Source organism: Homo sapiens, chromosome 14 (assembly GCF_000001405.40).
Source record: "Homo sapiens chromosome 14, GRCh38.p14 Primary Assembly".
NCBI classification, from domain to species: Eukaryota; Metazoa; Chordata; class Mammalia; order Primates; family Hominidae; genus Homo; species Homo sapiens.
The window spans coordinates 61,496,923-61,513,838 of NC_000014.9; the positions used below are offsets into that span (position 1 = coordinate 61,496,923).

General features: G+C 42.6%; 1 protein-coding gene across 8 annotated transcripts in view, besides 2 other annotated features; it reads left to right on the forward strand.

Moving 5' to 3' along the window:
• The window catches only part of PRKCH (protein kinase C eta), a 363,509-nt gene that overhangs the window by 309,455 nt on the left and 37,138 nt on the right, over positions 1–16,916 (forward strand). The window lies entirely within an intron of this gene.
• Positions 9,266–9,838: an enhancer, noted in NCBI's record as "H3K27ac hESC enhancer chr14:61972906-61973478 (GRCh37/hg19 assembly coordinates)". NCBI's record gives its function as "activates a minimal SCP1, AML or CMV promoter by ChIP-STARR-seq in naive H9 embryonic stem cells {active_cell/tissue: H9 hESC(naive)}" and the evidence as "EXISTENCE:reporter gene assay evidence [ECO:0000049][PMID:30033119]".
• Positions 16,278–16,447: an enhancer, noted in NCBI's record as "experimental_34774 CRE fragment used in MPRA reporter constructs". NCBI's record gives its function as "activates a minimal promoter by MPRAs in K562 erythroleukemia cells, with activity observed for both the introgressed and non-introgressed 14:61980003 variant alleles {active_cell/tissue: K562}" and the evidence as "EXISTENCE:reporter gene assay evidence [ECO:0000049][PMID:34662402]".

Below are 16,916 nucleotides of genomic sequence, written 5' to 3' on the forward strand. Positions count from 1 at the left end.
GAAGAGCTGCCCATTGATTGTCTTATTCTGGCCCAAACCCATGATTTTCTCATAACTCAAAGCAGTCTTTTTTAAATAAATGAAAGCCTTCTGGAAAGTTTCTCTGATTGACCGAAAAGGATGTTTGCACATCTGTAGTAGTGATGCATTTATATCCTCATACATATTTATTTGGATCTGACTTCGATTCTTTCCTTAGAACAGATTCCTGGAAAGGCACACAAATTAACGACTTTTAGAGCTGGCATTGTGGATAAGAGCTGGGGCTCCTGAGTAGAATGGACCTGGGTGTTTCCAGTCTTGGTTCTGCCACTTCTCTGTTGTGGGATCTTGATCAGGTTACTTTACCTCTCTAAGCCTCAGTTTCTTCAATGATAAAATGGAAGTCCTGGAAATACTCACCTGAGGGTGGTTGTTAGAATTAAATTTGTGATGTGGAGGTGCATGTAAAGCCTTTAGCCCAGAGCCTGGTATGTAGTACATGCTCAGTGATGTTCACTTTTAAACATTCTGTTTGCTACCACTTTTGGGAAAAGCATCAAACACATGTTCCAGTGACGGGTATTGGTGCCATTTTTCTAGTTCCCCTCATAGATCTTAAGTGCACAATTGGATAAATTTTGACATATGTACACATTGTGTAATCAATACTCCAAATACTATATGGAACATTTCTGTCATCCTAGAAAGTTTTTAGTGCCCCTTTCAGTTAGTCCCCAAACACCCCCATAGGCACCCAGTGATTCTGTGTTGATATTATAGGCTGTGGATATCCACATTGAAACTATTGAGTGTCTTCAAAGTAGAATTGCTTCTCAGGAGTGTCCTTTTCAGTATAAGAGGATGGGCTCTTTAAACTGACTACATGAGTGTAATGGCAGTTATGATCAGAAGAGACTACCCAAAGAAAGACTTCATCCCATCAGTCAGTTTTACTCTCTGTAGAGAAAAGTAATTACAGGAGGATAAACACCAGCACATCAACAGTTGTTGTCTGAGGTAATATAGGTGATTTTTATTTTCTTTTTGATGGTTTTCAAATGTTCTGTATTGAACAAGTGTTGTCTTTTTATCATTAAAAAAATGCCATCCTATTTATTTATTTATTTAGAGATGGAGTCTCACTCTGTCACCCAGGCTGGAGTGCAGTGGCTTGATCTCAGCTCACTGCAGCCTCTCCTCCCGGGCTCAAGCGATTCTCCTGCCTCAGCCTCCCAAGTGCCTGGGATTGCAGACATGCGCCACCACACTCGGCTAATTTTTGTATTTTTAGTAGAGACGGGGTTTCACCATGTTGGCCAGGCTAGTCTCAAATTCCTGACCTCAAGTGATCCCCTACCTGGGCTTCACAAAGTGCTGGGATTACAGGCATGAGCCACCGCACCTGGGCAGAAATGCTATTTTAGAAGTGATCTCATGTGATACTATGTTTTTCAACATGATGTCAGAAATTGGTAACCTGCTGTTTTATCAGTTAAGTTCTGTCAAGCCCCAGCCTCACGCCGTGACCACTCCTTGTCTGTGAAACCCAGTTCTACAGAAGTCACAAAGCCATTGTCTTAGTCTGCTCAGTACTGCTTAGTCTGCTGCCATAATAAATACCACAGACTGGATTCCTTGAACAGAAATGTATTTCTCACAGCTCTGGAGACTGGGAATTCCAAGATCTGGGTGCTGGCCAATTTGGTTCCTCATGAGGGCTCTCTTCCTGGCTTTAAGGTGGCTGCCATCTTGCTGTGTTCTCATGCGGTGAGGGGATGGAGAGAGCACAGGCTTTCTGGTGTCTCTTGTTATAAGGTCACAAATTCCATCATGAGACCTCACCTTTGTGGCCTCACCTAGCCCCAATTATCTCCCAAAGGCCCTACCTCCAAATGCTATCACATTAGAGCTTAGGGCTTCAATATATGAATTCTGGCAGGACACAAAACATTCAGTCCATTACAGCCATTCATTCATACACGTGTTTGGGGTTTTCAGTTACATTAAGCAACATGTTTTGCAGCTACTTGGTTTGATAGTGCCAAATCTACCCGGAAATGATTTCAGCCCTAAGGAAAACAGCTCCTGCTACAGTGGAACACACAGTAGACAGGCACGAGAGAATAACCAAGGATTAGACCGAGGCGTTGTCATGCGTTTGGCTCATTAAGCCATGCATGTTAGGCTTGGAGCTCTATTTTGAGGTGTGTTGAGACCAAATCCTTCTCCTAGATCCCAGTACTTAAGCCTGGCAGGAAAAAAAGCTGAGTACACTGTGGTTTTAGAGTGTACCTTTTGATAAATAGTTTGCAGCATGTCCCTGAAAGGGGAATTTTTTCCTTTGTCTTGCAAATGTCAAATTGTACTTTTCTGTAAACTTTGTAAGTAGAAATGTGAAGTGGTACAAGTGCTCTGTTGCTTTTTGGTGAAAATGCTCACACATGATGAATTTCTCAGTTCAGTTGCAAAGAGAAGTTAGTGAAACCTAACAGGCAAACTACCCCACACCCTGGAGAACAGTGTCCTGGGGGTGTCTGGTTTGCTAGGTGTGTGGCTGGTGCAGCAATGGGAAGGTGGCGCTTTGACTGCCTGGCCCCTCACATCTTGCTCCTCCCTTTTCACTGCTCCTCTGGCCTCCAGAGTAGCCATGTAAGCCTGTGCTTTCACGTACAGAATTGCTGCTCTACCCTGTTCTTGGCATTTGCGTCAAAATTTACTGTGTTCCGCTGACAAAATTCTAGAATCTCAAAGCTGGAATGGAGTTCAAAGTTATATACCCTTCTTCTTTCAAAGCATGAATATCCAACATCTGCCGAGCAGTCATTTTTTTCCGTACTTAAACACCTATAAGCAAAGAGGAACTTATACTTCCTCCACTTTCAGGGATGTACGGCTTTTGGAAATTTCGCCTTTCTGTTGACTCAAACATTGTTTCCCAGTAGCTTCAGTTCACTGGTTCTGGACCACCTATAAGGGGTAGACTTAAAAAAAAAAATACAGCTCTCTTACAAGAAAGCTGTGGAGATATGTGAAGGCAGTCTGGGTCTCCCAATCTAGTTTACCTGTTAACAAAGGAAATACTATTAGCCTGATAGTCGCTCGTTCTGGCTGTTTCTTCAGGATTACTGATTTCTCAGTAATCCATAAACCATCCATGTTATTAGGCATTCTAGATACTTGGATCAATATCCGGTTGACTTGTCACGTTCTTCTCTTACGAAATCAGAACTATCTGAACTAGCAGTTGGCTAACTGAACTGAGTTATGTTATTATAGCTCATGTTACTTCTTTTGGGTAAGACTTGGTCTTTTTTTTTGAGACACGGTCTCCCTCTGTTGCCCAGGCTGGAGTGCAGCGGTGCAGCTCACTGCAGCCTAGAGCTCCTGGGCTCAAACCATCCTCCCACCTCAGCCTCCCAAGTATCTGGGACTACAAGTGTGTACCAGCACACCCAGCTAATTTTTGTAATATTTTTAGAGATGGGGTCTCGCTATGTTGCCCAGGCTGGTCTCAAACTCCTGGGCTCAAGCAACCCTCCCACTGTGGCCTCCTAAAGTGCTGGAATTACAGCTTGAACCACCATGCCCATCCTTGGTCTTTAACTGGATATTGTTGATGCTGACTATAGAGTAGCAAGCACGGTGGAAAGTTAATTGGTGTGGTGATCTCAAAAAAGGATATTTAAATTTTCCTGTTGTAAGGATCTCAGGAATTTAATTCCTGCATCCATTTGAGAGTATAGCTTCAGCCTGTATGTGCACATGAAAATAGAGAAGGTAGTCATAAATCCCAGAACTGAGGATCTCTGTGCACAGCCCACTCTGCAAAGGTGGATATTTTCCTCTCAAATCAATCTGTGACTTGCTCAAGGGTGAATTACCAAAGATGAAACATGGGCTGAGCACGGGGGTGGGATGGGGGAGACAAGAAAATCACCTTTGGGTATGTCAAAATAGAGGTACCTATGGAACTCCTTCAAATGGTCCATCTCAAAGTTGGAAATACCAGGATAATGTTTAAGACTGGCCACAGACTCAGGTTGATTGCATGGAACAGCATGAAAATGAGACAGTATTGGCTTACAGTTAAGAACGAGGCTTTGAAGTCAAACTTAGATTTAAAACTTACCCCCACAATGTACTGTAATTCTGTGATATTGTACCAACTCTTTAATTCTCTAAGCCTCCGTTTCTTAATCTACATGAGGATAACAGTACTATCCATTCCATGGAGTTACAGTGAAAATTAATTCATGTGGCTTGCTTATTCCAGTGTCTGACATCAGCAAATCCTCCATATACATTATCAGTTGTTAAGAAGAAAAGTGATCCAGGGAAGGAAATTAAACAATGAATTTACTTGAAAGACAGATTCCATAAGGAAATTGTTGAATAAATTATGGTTATACCCGTACTGTGGAATATTATGCAACAATTAAAAGAAAGAATACATTAGATCTACATATATTGACCTGGATGGTTTGTCCCTGATAGACAAATAAATGAAAAAAAGAGAGATGTGTGCTCATTTTAATCCCATTAAAAAAAAAAGCAGTAGCGAAAGCTACACCAAGAGTCTCGTACGTTTCCTCATTTGTCATGGCTACATAAGGGCTTGCATCTTGAGCTCTTTTTTGTTCATTTCATTTGTTATCCCTCAATTTCTGGCACAGGGCATGGCAATATTTCTTTTTTCTTGTCTTCATTTCTGTTTTATTTCTAGCAACTGAGCCAACATTTGTCTGCAGGAATTCATGGTGGGGAGTAAGTGATGAGAAGATGGGTGGAAACACAGTATCATTTATTGACTAAAGAGCAGTGTCACTTTAATTTAATTTTAAAATGTAAATTAATGCATATACATAAAAAGGACACTTTTAGCTGTTCTAAAATGATTACAGTGAATGCTAAATCCTCTTCATACCCTTGTCCCCAGTCTCTCAATTCCTCTTCCTCAAGACATGTCCTTATATGTCCTTCCAGAAATGGTCTATGCATATGCAAGCTCTGCATTTGAATGTCTCCTGTTGAAAAACAAATGGTGGTATATTATCTACCTGAAGAACAGAGATTTTTTCCTAAGTCTTTAGAGAGATGAAATCTAAATCCTTAAAGAAAGGTAGTAGGTAGGCAATCTTTTCTTTTCTTTTCTTTTCTTTTCTTTTTTTTTTTTTTTTTCCGAGATGGAGTCTCACTCTCACTCAGGCAGGAGTGCAATGGCATGGTCTTCACTCACTGCAACCTCCACCTCCCAGGTTCAAGTGATTCTCCTACCTCAGCCTCTTGAGTAGCTGGGACTATAGCACATGCCACCACACCCGGCTAATTTTTGTATTTTTAGTAGAGACGGGTGTCACTATGTTGGCCAGGCTGGTCGCAAACTCCTGACCTCGTGATCCGCACACCCCAGCCTTCCAAAGTGCTGGGATTACAGACATGAGCCACCATGCCCATTCAATCTTTTCTTTTATCAGAAGGGTCTATGGGTGACAGTTCAAGTCCTGGAAATAATTCTGCTATCTCTTGTTGGAGAAAGTGCTGGTTTTTTCAGATCAGGCAACAGGCTTATAAACGTTTATTGCAGTTACAAGCTACAAAGAAAGATTTCTTTCCAGCACTACTGCTCCAGGTAGAGCAGTTGCACCAGTCATTATTTATAACTGGATTAAAGAGTAGCAGCACATACTTCTACCGTGGTTATAGAGTGCCTTCTGTTGTACAGAGTGGACTGCTTATTCACCAGGGAGTTCTCAAACACCTTTCTCTATGGGCGCTGTCCCAAATAATGTCAAGAGAGAAAAAATTAAAAATGAGCTCCTGCCCTCTAAGAACAGATGGGAGCAGCCCCAAATCTTGCAAATGAAGCAAGAGGGGGTATTCAGTCTTTAATCCAAGCAGCTAGAAGCTTGCCTTTCCCAAGTTCACCGAGTGAGGATTTTAACACTCCTTTGACAAAGAAATGGGGCCGAGCAGCAGAGGAAGGCAGGTGACACTGAGTCATGGAATTCACCCTTTCGAGCCCTTCCTGGGGGATGTGTGGCTCTTGGGTTGGTTCTTGAAGGAAAGGAATGAATGTAAGAGAGGAAGGGAAGCAGGCTTTTTTTTTTTTTTTTTTTTTGACTCCTACACAGAAGGTGGAATTGAGAAAAATATACTGTGGCGGTGAAATCAACTTACAAAACTGAGGAGGAAAATTTTGACAAAAGCAAACCCAAAATCTGATTACTGTGGGGCTGTCCATTTTATTGCTGCACCAAGGAGCAGGGTAGATACTATTTTGGCCTAAAGAACACTGAAATTTTGTTTTCTCATTTGCAAATAGACAGGTTCAAACCCGTCAGAGGCCGTAACTGAGTTTCCCTGTGACTGATTTGTATGTGTGTTAGTGGTTTTTTTTTTTTTTTTCCTGTAAGAATCTGGTTGAGTAATTCAGAAGGTTAAAAAACAACCAAACAGAAATAAGTGAGAAAAGTTAACTGAGGTCTGCCACATATGCCGGGAAGGTGCCCACAGACTGGCAGAATCTGTGCAGTCTTTGTCTGTTTCTGCCTATGCAAATACTAAGCCACGCTCAACAGAGCTTGAGCGTTGTATCTGTTCAACTGCCATTTAAGAAATAGGACTCTGTTCTCAACAGCTTATTCCTTGGGGTTTCAGAATGTAAAATATGAAGTGTGTATAATCACAGGCCAGGTTCCCAGCATTTCTCGGCATTTCAGCTTTGGCAGGAGGAATGGGAAAAACTGAAGTTTTTATGTCCAGGAAGGCTGAGTGTAATCTTTGTTCTGTGGCACTGGGAAAGGAAGTGAATCTGTTACAAAGCGCTTTACCTCTGAAGCATGTCTCAGGGGCAGCTGTGCTTTGTGCCATGTATTCTGTTTTCATAAAAAGAAAGAGGTAGAGTCGAGGGCTTACCATGCAGAGTATTTTCACAGTATCTCACTTGATATATCATCCAGGGAAAGTGACCTGTGTTATACTTTGTGTTTTAAGATATAACTCTAGAATCAAAAACTTACCAGAGAAGCTCAAGATACTTTACTTTGCAAGAATTAATTCTCAAGATAAAAACTCATCAGAGTTCAAGATAAGAAGGGTTCAATTAACAACACATTTTAAATGGAAGAATTATTTAAAAAATTGTTTTAACTTTGAATGAGCTTAGATTAACTTACCTGTTGCAGAGGTAGGTCAGACCCCATGTCATCATTTGCCCAGAAAAGTCCCAGTTTGCTCCCATAATCCCCCTTCATGACCCATTTTACTCTCAGAGGCCCATTTTGTTTATTGGGTTTTTTTTTCTTGAGAGAGTCTCGCTCTGTTGCCCAGACTGGAGTGCAGTGGTGCGATCTCGGCTCACTGCAACCTCCACCTCCTGGGTTCAAGCCATTTTCCTGCTTCAGCCTCCTGAGTAGCTGGGATTACAGGTGCTCACCACCACCCCCGGCTAATTTTTGTTATTTTTAGTAGAGATGGGGTCTCACTATATTGGCCAGGCAGGTCTTGAACTCCTGAATTTAAGTCATCTACTCACCTCGGCCTCCCAAAGTGCTGGGATTACAGGCATGAGCCACCGCACCCAGCCGTCTGAGGCCCATTTTGGGCGGTACACTGCATGGTCATCATACAAAGAGGTGTCTGCATTTCTACTTTTTTTTCTTTAAGATGGTAGAACCAAACAAAAAAGGGTGTTTTTACAAATTGAGAGGGGTCCCTCTGTAGGAGGGGAATTTCTCCAGCATTTTCCTTTGATGGAGTATTCTCCTCTCGTTCAGAAATAGGAAATTTAGTAACTAAAGCATTAAGAACAGATTTATTTTTTAACATCAGTCACTACCTTAGTTTCAGAGACACACTGGGGGAAATTGCCTTTCCCTTACGCCTCTTGTTTTATGTCCTTTATATGAGATGTTAATATATTTACATGAGGTATAAATTTGTCTGTAACTTTATAGGTTTGTATTCATTTATTAATCCATCCATCCATTCATTTACTCATTCAACAAATGTTAATTGAGACCTATTTTTTGCCTGGAGATATAATAGTGACCACAATAGGCCTGCTCCCTGCCCACAGGAAGCAGGCATTCTAGTGTAAGCACACAAACAAGTAAAAGTAATTACCAATTGTGAAAGTTACATGGAAGGAAATAAGTGAGCTTTTATTTGTGGTTTTATTTCATAGAGCTGAAGGAAGTGAAGAGACAGATACCTCTCTCCCCACTTCTTTCATTGCTGAATGTCTGAAGTATTTCTTACTCCATTGGACTACTATGACAGAACACTATCGATTGGGTGGCTTGTAAACAACAGAAAATTATTTCTCAGTGCTCTAAAGGCTGGAAAGTGCAAGGTCAAGGTACCAGCAGATTTGGTGTCGGGTGAGGGCCTGTTTCTTGGTTCACGGATAGCTGCCTTCTCACTGAGACTTCACATGGTGGAAGCCGTGAGAGAGCTCTCTAGGATTTGTCTTTTCTTTTCTTTTCTTTTCTTTTTTTTTTTTTTTTTTTTTTTTTTTTTGAGGTGGAGTCTTGCTCTATCGCCCACTGCAACCTCCACCTACCGGCTTCAAGCAATTCTCCTGCCTCAGCCTCCTGAGTAGCTGGGATTACAGGCATGTGCCACCACGCCTGGCCAATTTTGTATTTTTAGTAGAGATGGGGTTTCTGCATGTTGGTCAGGCTAATCTCGAACTCCCGACCTCAGGTGATCCACCCGCCTTGGCCTGCCAAAGTGCTGGGATTAGGAGCATGAGCCACCACGCCCAGCCGGATTTCTTTTCTAAGGGCGCTAATCCCATTCACAAGGGCTTTACCTTCATGACCTAGCCACCTCCCAAAGGACCCACTTCCAAATACAGTCACATTGAAGGTTAAGTTTCAACATACCAATTTTGGGGATACATAAACATTCAGTCTATAGCAGTATTTTATCTGGGGTTTCAAACTCAAATACCTTCAGAGTAGAGGCCAATGGGGACACTCCTGTCTCATGGTTCTAACCAGAGGGGACTTGCATATCCATTCACCTAAAGCTCCGTTAAGAAAGGTGAGGAGCCCCGGGCCAGACCCACAGGAAGTGTCCCCAGGTTGCATTTGGCTCTGGTCACATATTCACTTTTTCCAGAGTCCCCAAGGTATACTTTAGTTCCACATCAATGCCTACCAGGCCTGGTTCAGTCTTACATTTCAATAGGTCCCCTTGTGGGTCTCGGAGAAAAAGAGAGCAGCATTAGAATTTTACTACCACAGTGAGTTTTTCCACTTCACTTTGGAAACATTGAGCTATTCCTACGCAGTTTGGATGACAGAAATACTGTGCTCAGTGCAATCTACTGGAAAATCTGAGTGCTTGGAAAAATGTCAGGAATACTCTCTTTTGTCATGGAATTTCTCCATATTGCGGCGGTACTTCAGTGTGAGTCAGCAGGAGGAACTTCGGTGCACCAAGCAGGCCTCACATCAGTGGGGTTGTGAGTCCCAGCTCTGATTGAAGTCAGGGGGGTGGGTAAGTGATGTCCTGGCCAGTCCAGGGATGGGGGCTATTTCTAGTGTGCAATGCTGGCCCTCCTGAACCAAATGTGAACCCCCCTGGACTCTCGCATGAGTTTCTCTGGAAAGCTCGTCTTCTCTTCTTTACCCAACCCCTCCCCCTACCACTCTTCCAGAAAGTTGCTCTTCAGAATTCCATGAAGGATGGAAGCAGCCCTGAACTAACTGCCCTGGGGCTCTTTATTCTCAGGCTACCAAGAAAAGAAAAAAATGCTAAGAAGCAGGGACCTGGCTGCCTGATCTTCCCTATGGTCACTGGCTCTTCTTGAACAGGCATGTAATGAAATAGTGTGGAACAGTAAGAAAGCTCCTACAGGCAGAGGCCATCCATGAAGCCTCTTCTCAGGCAATGGAGTCTTCAAATGGAATGACCACAGACTGTTTTCTTTGAAGGTGAATGCACATGTCTAAGCCCTAAATTGCCCTGCTAAAATCGTCTTCCCTTGGACACCAAAAGCATAGCTGACAAAAGCAAAAATAAGTGAGAGGGAGTACATCAAACTAAAAAGCTGCTGCATAGGACAGGAAACACTTGACAAAATGGAAAGGCAACCTATGGAAAGGGAGAAAATAGTTGCAGATCTGATAAGGGGTTAGTATCCAAAGCATATAAGCAACTTATACAACCCAATAGCAAAAACTAATAATAATAACCTGATTAAAATGGACAAAGGACCTGAATAGACATTTCTCCAAAGAAGATATGCACATGGCCAGTAGGTTTATGAAAAGTTGCTCAACATCACTAACCATCTGGGAAATGCAAATGAAAACCACAATGAAATATCACCTCATACGTGTTAGGATGGTTATCCAAAAACCTGAGGACAAGTGTTGGCAAGGGTGTGGAGAAAAGGGAACCCTATGCACTGTTGGTGGAAATGTAAATTGGTGCAGCCACTAAGCAAAACAATATGTAGGTTCCTCAAAAAAATTACAAATAGAACTATCATATGACCCAGCAATCCCATTCCTGGATCTATAACCAAAGGAATTGGAATCTGGATCTCAGAGATGTCTGCACTCTCATGATCATTGCAGCGTTATTCACGATAGTCAAAATATGGAAACAATCTAAATGTCCTTCTGCAGACAAATAGATAAAGAAAATTTGCTATGGAATATTATTCAGCCTTAAAAAAGAAGGAAATCCTATCATTCCGGACAGTGTGGATGGGCCTGGAGGAGATTATGCCAAATGAAATAAGGCAGACCCAGAAAGACAGATACTGCATGATCTCACTCATATATGGAATCTAAAATAGTCAAAATCATAGAAGCAGGGAGTAGAATGGTGGTTGCCAAGGGTGGTTGGGGGACAGAGAAATGGGAAGATGTTGATCAAAGGGTACAAAATTTCAGTTATGCAGGATAAACAAGCTCTGGAAATCCTACTGTACAACATAAGACCTATGATTAACAATGCTGTACTGTATACTTAAAATTTTGCTAAGAGAGTACATCTTAAGTGCTCTTATCACCAAGAAAAAAACACAAAGGAGGCAGGAGGAAACCTTTGAAGATTATGTACAGGTTTATTGCACTGACAGTAGTGATGATTTTACAGGTATACACCTCTCCAAACACATCAAGTTGCATACATTAAGTATCTACAGCTTTTTGTATGTCAGTTATTCCTTAATAAAGCAGTTATTTTTAAAAATCCTCTTCCCTTTGGTCCCCCAGCCTTTAACATGGCAATTGACATGGCAATTGACATGATAAAAGCTACTGTATTTCCTTGATTTAAAAAAACCACAGCTCACAAAATGCCCATGATTGCTGATTTGATTAAAACAACTGTACTAGCAGCTGGCAAGTGTTTTTTTAGCCACTAGTTTTAAGGAACATTCCTGTTTCAGAAGTATCAAAGGGGAGGGAGCAGCACAGATCATAGAATCAAAGTGATACAGAGATTAGAGTTGTGTTCCCCTCTAGGTAGTGATAGAGGAATTGTTTCCTCTCTAGGCACAGTGATAGAGGGTGGCTTCGTTAACAGTATTATTAAGGCCATCTTACTGACAGCAAAAGGGAAACAAGACAGAGTCCTGATAGTTGGGTAAAAGGATCAGTTAAATTTGAAAGCGCTTCCTTTTGTATGTTCTGGTCAGTCTTCTGCGGGAGGAGGATGTATAAAGTCCACTGTGTCAGAAAAGCAGTCAGTCTACCCCTCCCCAGTTTCCATCTGGGTATCTTTGTGCTCCTGGTCATTTCTTTCCCAGAAATTGGGGGATCTGGTCTCAGATAAGAGGAGTGGGTTTGGATGTCCCAATATCACATATGGTAAGGATGAAAAACATGGATAAGATGATTGAGTTTATCTTGTATATGAGGCCATGTGTTGTAAATGGTCTTTTTTTGCTAACTTTCTTGACTCTCTAGATGTATCTTGAGGAGTGAAGCATGAGGACACTGTTTTACTCAGTCACAACCTAGAGTCAAGTTTTTTTCTGTTATTTTCTCAAGACAGTGCTACCAATTAGATTGTATGCATCCCATTTGTCCTCATTTGATTCCCATCCATGTTCTCACCTTCTCCAAGGTGACTGTTATTCTGATTAATGTTCAGATTCCTGTAATGCATTGTTAGCATTGGGTGCTGGATCTGAGCCAGTCCAGGGTCTGGAGAGCTATGCAGAGATAGAAGTGGACTCTAGAAAGAGGCCCCCGAATCCTGCCATTCCCTCTCCAAGGTGCCAGAGTTTGCAGTTTCCAGGAATTGCATGTGATGCAGATTGTAAATTACGCGTAAATATGTATTTGTGTCTTAAATGACTTTTTTAGTTTGGAGAATGCCCTTCACCCTATGACTGGCATACCGCAACACACTCATTAGCCCTTTGTTGGCTGACACTTTGAAAACATGCAGCCTCAAAGACCATTGTTAAGTCATCCATGGGGTTTGTTTGACCATGAAGGAGACTTCTTCACGATTGAGTTACCAGGTTCAACAGGTCCTGGGCATCTGCTTTGTGCTGTTTACCTCTGAAGATCAAAAGATAAATCAGAATCTTTGCTCTCAGGATTTAGTCTACTGGGAATTCTAAACACACATAAATTGACGATGTAAGATATGGTACCATAAATGCTCAGAGTGAAATGCAAACAGAATACAGTGGGTGCTTAGAAAAGGCAACTATGAATGTTGGCTGGGTGTGGTGGCTCACGCCTGTAATCCCAGTACTTTGGGAGGCCAGCGTGGGCAGATCACTTGAGGTCAGGAGTTCGAAACCAGCCCTGCCAACATGGTGAGATTCTGTCTCTACTAAAAATACAAAAATAAATAAATAAAAATAAAATAAAATAAAAACTAGCCATGCATGGTGGTGGGTTCCTCTAATCCCAGCTACTTGGGAGGCTGAGGCAGGAGGATCACTTGAATCTGGGAGGCAGAGGTTGCAGTGAGCCAAGATCGTGTCACTGCCCTCCATCCTGGGTGACAAAGTGAGGCTCCATCTCAAAAAAACAAAACAAACAAAAACAAACTATGAATGCTGATGGAGAGGTTCAGTGGAGGCCTTGAGGAGATGACACTTGATTCTGATATGCAAGTTTTCCATTAACAGTGAAACAGGGAAGTCCATGCTAGGTAGACATAGCGACAGGGACAGAGGCGTGGAGGCAGAAAAGCGTCCTGTGCTAAGGAATCATGAGGACTCGGTATGATCAGAGGACCAGAGCCTGGGAAGGAGCAGGGCAGAGCTGGCAGCTGAGGTAGATGGGGGTGAGAACCTGGAAGGTTTTGAATGTTGGGCTAGGAAGTGTGGGCTTTATTTTATTTGCCTTTCAATAGAAGCCAACAGAGGTTTTTGAGGAAGAGACTAACGGGAAATAAATGCAGTGTGTTAGAGTAAGTAACAGAGGAGTAAGCCTGGAAGCCAGGAGTTCAAGTAGGAGGTCTTCTCATAGGTCAGGCAAGAAACAGTCACAGCTTGGGGCAAGCCAGTAATGGTGGGAAGAGAAAGGAAAAGAGGAGGGGGAGCGATTCACATCGAAGGGAGTCTGATGATGTGGTTGGGGGACCAAGGAGTAGGCGTTAAAGATGACTCCGAGATTTCCAGTGAAGGAGCTTTTAACTGAGTAGGGATAGCAACAGAGTACAGTTTAGTTTTTGTTTTTTTGTGTTTAAAGAAACACTTCTGGTAGTTTTGCCCATAAAGCAGTTAGAGATGCGGCCTGGCTCTCCGGAGAGAGGTGTCAGGATAGGGATTTAGACTGGGGAGCCATCTGTCTAAGGGAATACTTGAACTCACGGGACTCAACTGCAAGGTAAAGTGTCAAGCAGGGCAACTGTGCACAACTGGGCAGATTGGGCCCTGAACAACCCTAGGGAGTGCCACCGTATCCTAGTCATTGTAGATTTGTGCAATGATTGAATTTTCTGGCAGATGGCAGTCAGATGTCTTGAGAAAGGGGCACCTTTTTCTAATGTGCACAAAGGTACCATATGGTGTGGCAGGAATGCTGGAAGTAAACCCAGGCAAGAGCCAAGAACAGAACCTTAGGGAACCAGCTATCCTATAAGGGAGGGTGGAGGAGGAGGAGCCTCCGGAGGAGACACTTAGGGGTGGTGAGAGACTTAGGTAGGATTTAAGTGTTTAGTTGCCTCCAATTTGCCTGAAAATAGAGTCACCACACAGTGAACTCTCATCTTACTTTGGTTTAATGACTCAAGTAGAGCCTCTGCTCATATTATCCATCAGTTCTTCCTTTTCACATAGCCGGTGAGTTTTCCTTGGCACTAGCAAGTGGGATCATTAACTGTCTCCATTTGGTTCGGATGTAGAATTATTAAACCTGTGGTTCTGGTCTTGAGAGCCAATGCCTGGCAGGTGACTGTGGCCCAGGGTGAATACCTGCTGCAAAGCCTCCTCTAGAAGGCCCACTGCAGAGCCTGCCTGGGGAGCTCCTAGGAGGGCAAAGGGCACCCTGCCAGGCAAGTCACCTGTCACACCTGGCTCCAGCCAGCTAGGAGTCAGATTGGGGCAGCCCCCCACCCAGAACTGCCAGAGCCTCTCGGATGGCTCAAGTCCTCACCTCTGAGGGCCTGGCAGGGTGAAGAACGCTCCTTGCCTCCTGAACCATATAAGAAAGAAAAGGCATCCCCAGAGCTATAGCTTGGAGGCTTGGCTCCTTTATGGCATAAACTACAAAGGCGCACAGCCTCCCCGATGTGTGCCAATAAGATGGCATAAATGCTTCTTGTGGAAGAGAAGGCTTGTGCCCTGCCTTGGCACATGATCCTCTGCCCACACATGCTTGTCATTGCTGCTTCCTGGCGCTTGTGACCTCCTTTGCATCAGTGGAAAGTTACAGGAGGAGAGATAGCACCACCTTTCTAGTCAGGAATCTGTCACGCAACCCAGATCAAAAACTTCAAGTTCACTTCTGTGTCAACGGGATCCCGACTCTGTGGGTGGATAGAACATTGTGTGGAAAGGCTGTAAAACTCAGAGTGTAACTGCAGTTTTTATCTGAGTGGCTGGAACTCTAGCTTGTTTATTACCTAGATCAGACAGGTAAAATGTTCTACTTTCAAATAATTCATGTTTTTCAGATCTTGAATTTTGGTAAATTTTTTTCATCAGTTGATTCTGTTTCTTAATTTGAGGAATAGAGTTCCTTTTCTAATGGGAAAATATATCACTTGTCATGTCTGTGGTGCTTTCTTGTGTTCTACAAACTCTACGTGAGCATAGGCTGTCTGGCTCTGGGGATCAGAAGCACTCAGGGAGCTCTGAGGACAGGATTTCATATACTACATCCTGAAACTGGGCAGATGATCACATGACCCTTTTTTTTTTTTTTTTTTTTTTTAAAGCAGGGCTCAGAAGCAGAGAGAGAAAGAGAATTTTTCCACAGCCTCAGAGAGAAAATCCAGGAAAATCCAGGAGTAGAACTCATGAGGCTGAGGTTCTGGAACTGTGTTCCCAAACTGCCTTCTCTGGAAAAAATGCAGAGGGAACCAGCCGATTCCTAGTAAAAAATTTTTGACTTACTGACTTTCAAAAAGAAATGAGTTCCATATGATGGGAATTGCATTCTTTGATTTGGACTTAAAGGATTTTCTGAGCTTTTAAATGGTTTCCTATGTAATATTCCATCTCTTCTGGTTTGGGAGTTTTCCATGAAATGCCTTTTTAAAAAATACCCAAAGCATCAAATGAGCTTTTCAGCTTGATGAAGAACTTAAGAAATTTCATCATTCCTTTTCTTCCTGGCTGACCTTTTAATTTTACACAAGATATACAGGAGTGATTTGTCTTGTCTGGTTTGTAAGGATTTTTAATCACCAGCCACACACATTAGTCACTGGCTTTTGTACCTACAAGCCCAATTTTCTTTGTTTTGGGGGTTTTTTAAATAAGTTTGTTTGTTCATTTATTTGGAGACATGGATCCTGTTCTGTCCCCCAGGCTGGAGTGCAGTGGCATGATCATATCCTCAAACTCCTGGATTCACGTGATCCTTCCACCTCAGTCTCCCAAGTAGCTGGGACTACAGGTACACACCACCACACCCAGCTAGTTTTAAAAAAAATTTTATAGAGACAGGGTCTCACTGTGTTGCCCAAGCTGACACTTACAGTAACAGTAGGATCAGACTGAGAGCTGGAAAAGGAACAGCGCAATGGGATTGGTAGCATAAAAGATTTACCACCAGATGCAGAAAGCAGTTCTCACCATTGCTTCCTCAGTTCCTTAGCATCCACCACGCGCAGAACTTTACACTTTACACTCAAGGGGTGTATGAATAAAGGGAATGCAACCAAAGTTTAAGGTAAGAAACTCAGAGCTTGTTCAGTTCAGTTAGTACTTAATTGGCTACCCAGCCTTGTGCCAGGTACCTTGTTCTGGGGCTAGAGAGCTGAAATAAGCATGGAGAAGATCTGCAGGGAAACCAACAGATGCAATCAGTGCAAGAAATGCTGTCATTAGAAGTGTGTACCAAACACCATTGGAGCACAGGCGGAGAGACACCAAACTTGGCCTAGGAAGGGATGCAGAGGCTTTGGAGACAGAGAAGCTTCAGTTAAGAGTGAAAAAGTCAGCCCAGGAGAGAAATGAGCTCTTCCATTTATCTGTGGTGATAAATCAATGTGTTTTAATTTTTCCTTTTTCAGTCCGTTTAGGACCAATACTTTTTATAAAATGTATTAAAAGTAAATTACTAGAAAAATGAAATTTCCAAATACATATAAAACAGAAGACCACATTTTTATTATTAGATTCAGCGGACTTATATTGTCATGTAGTATGACAGTATGATAGTTTGTCATACTGTCAAATAGTTTCGAAAAACTCTGTGCCTCTACTTTTACCTCACCATGGGTCAGCGCCAGTTTGCAGATGAGCGGCAGTTTGTGGACCACACTTTGAGTAG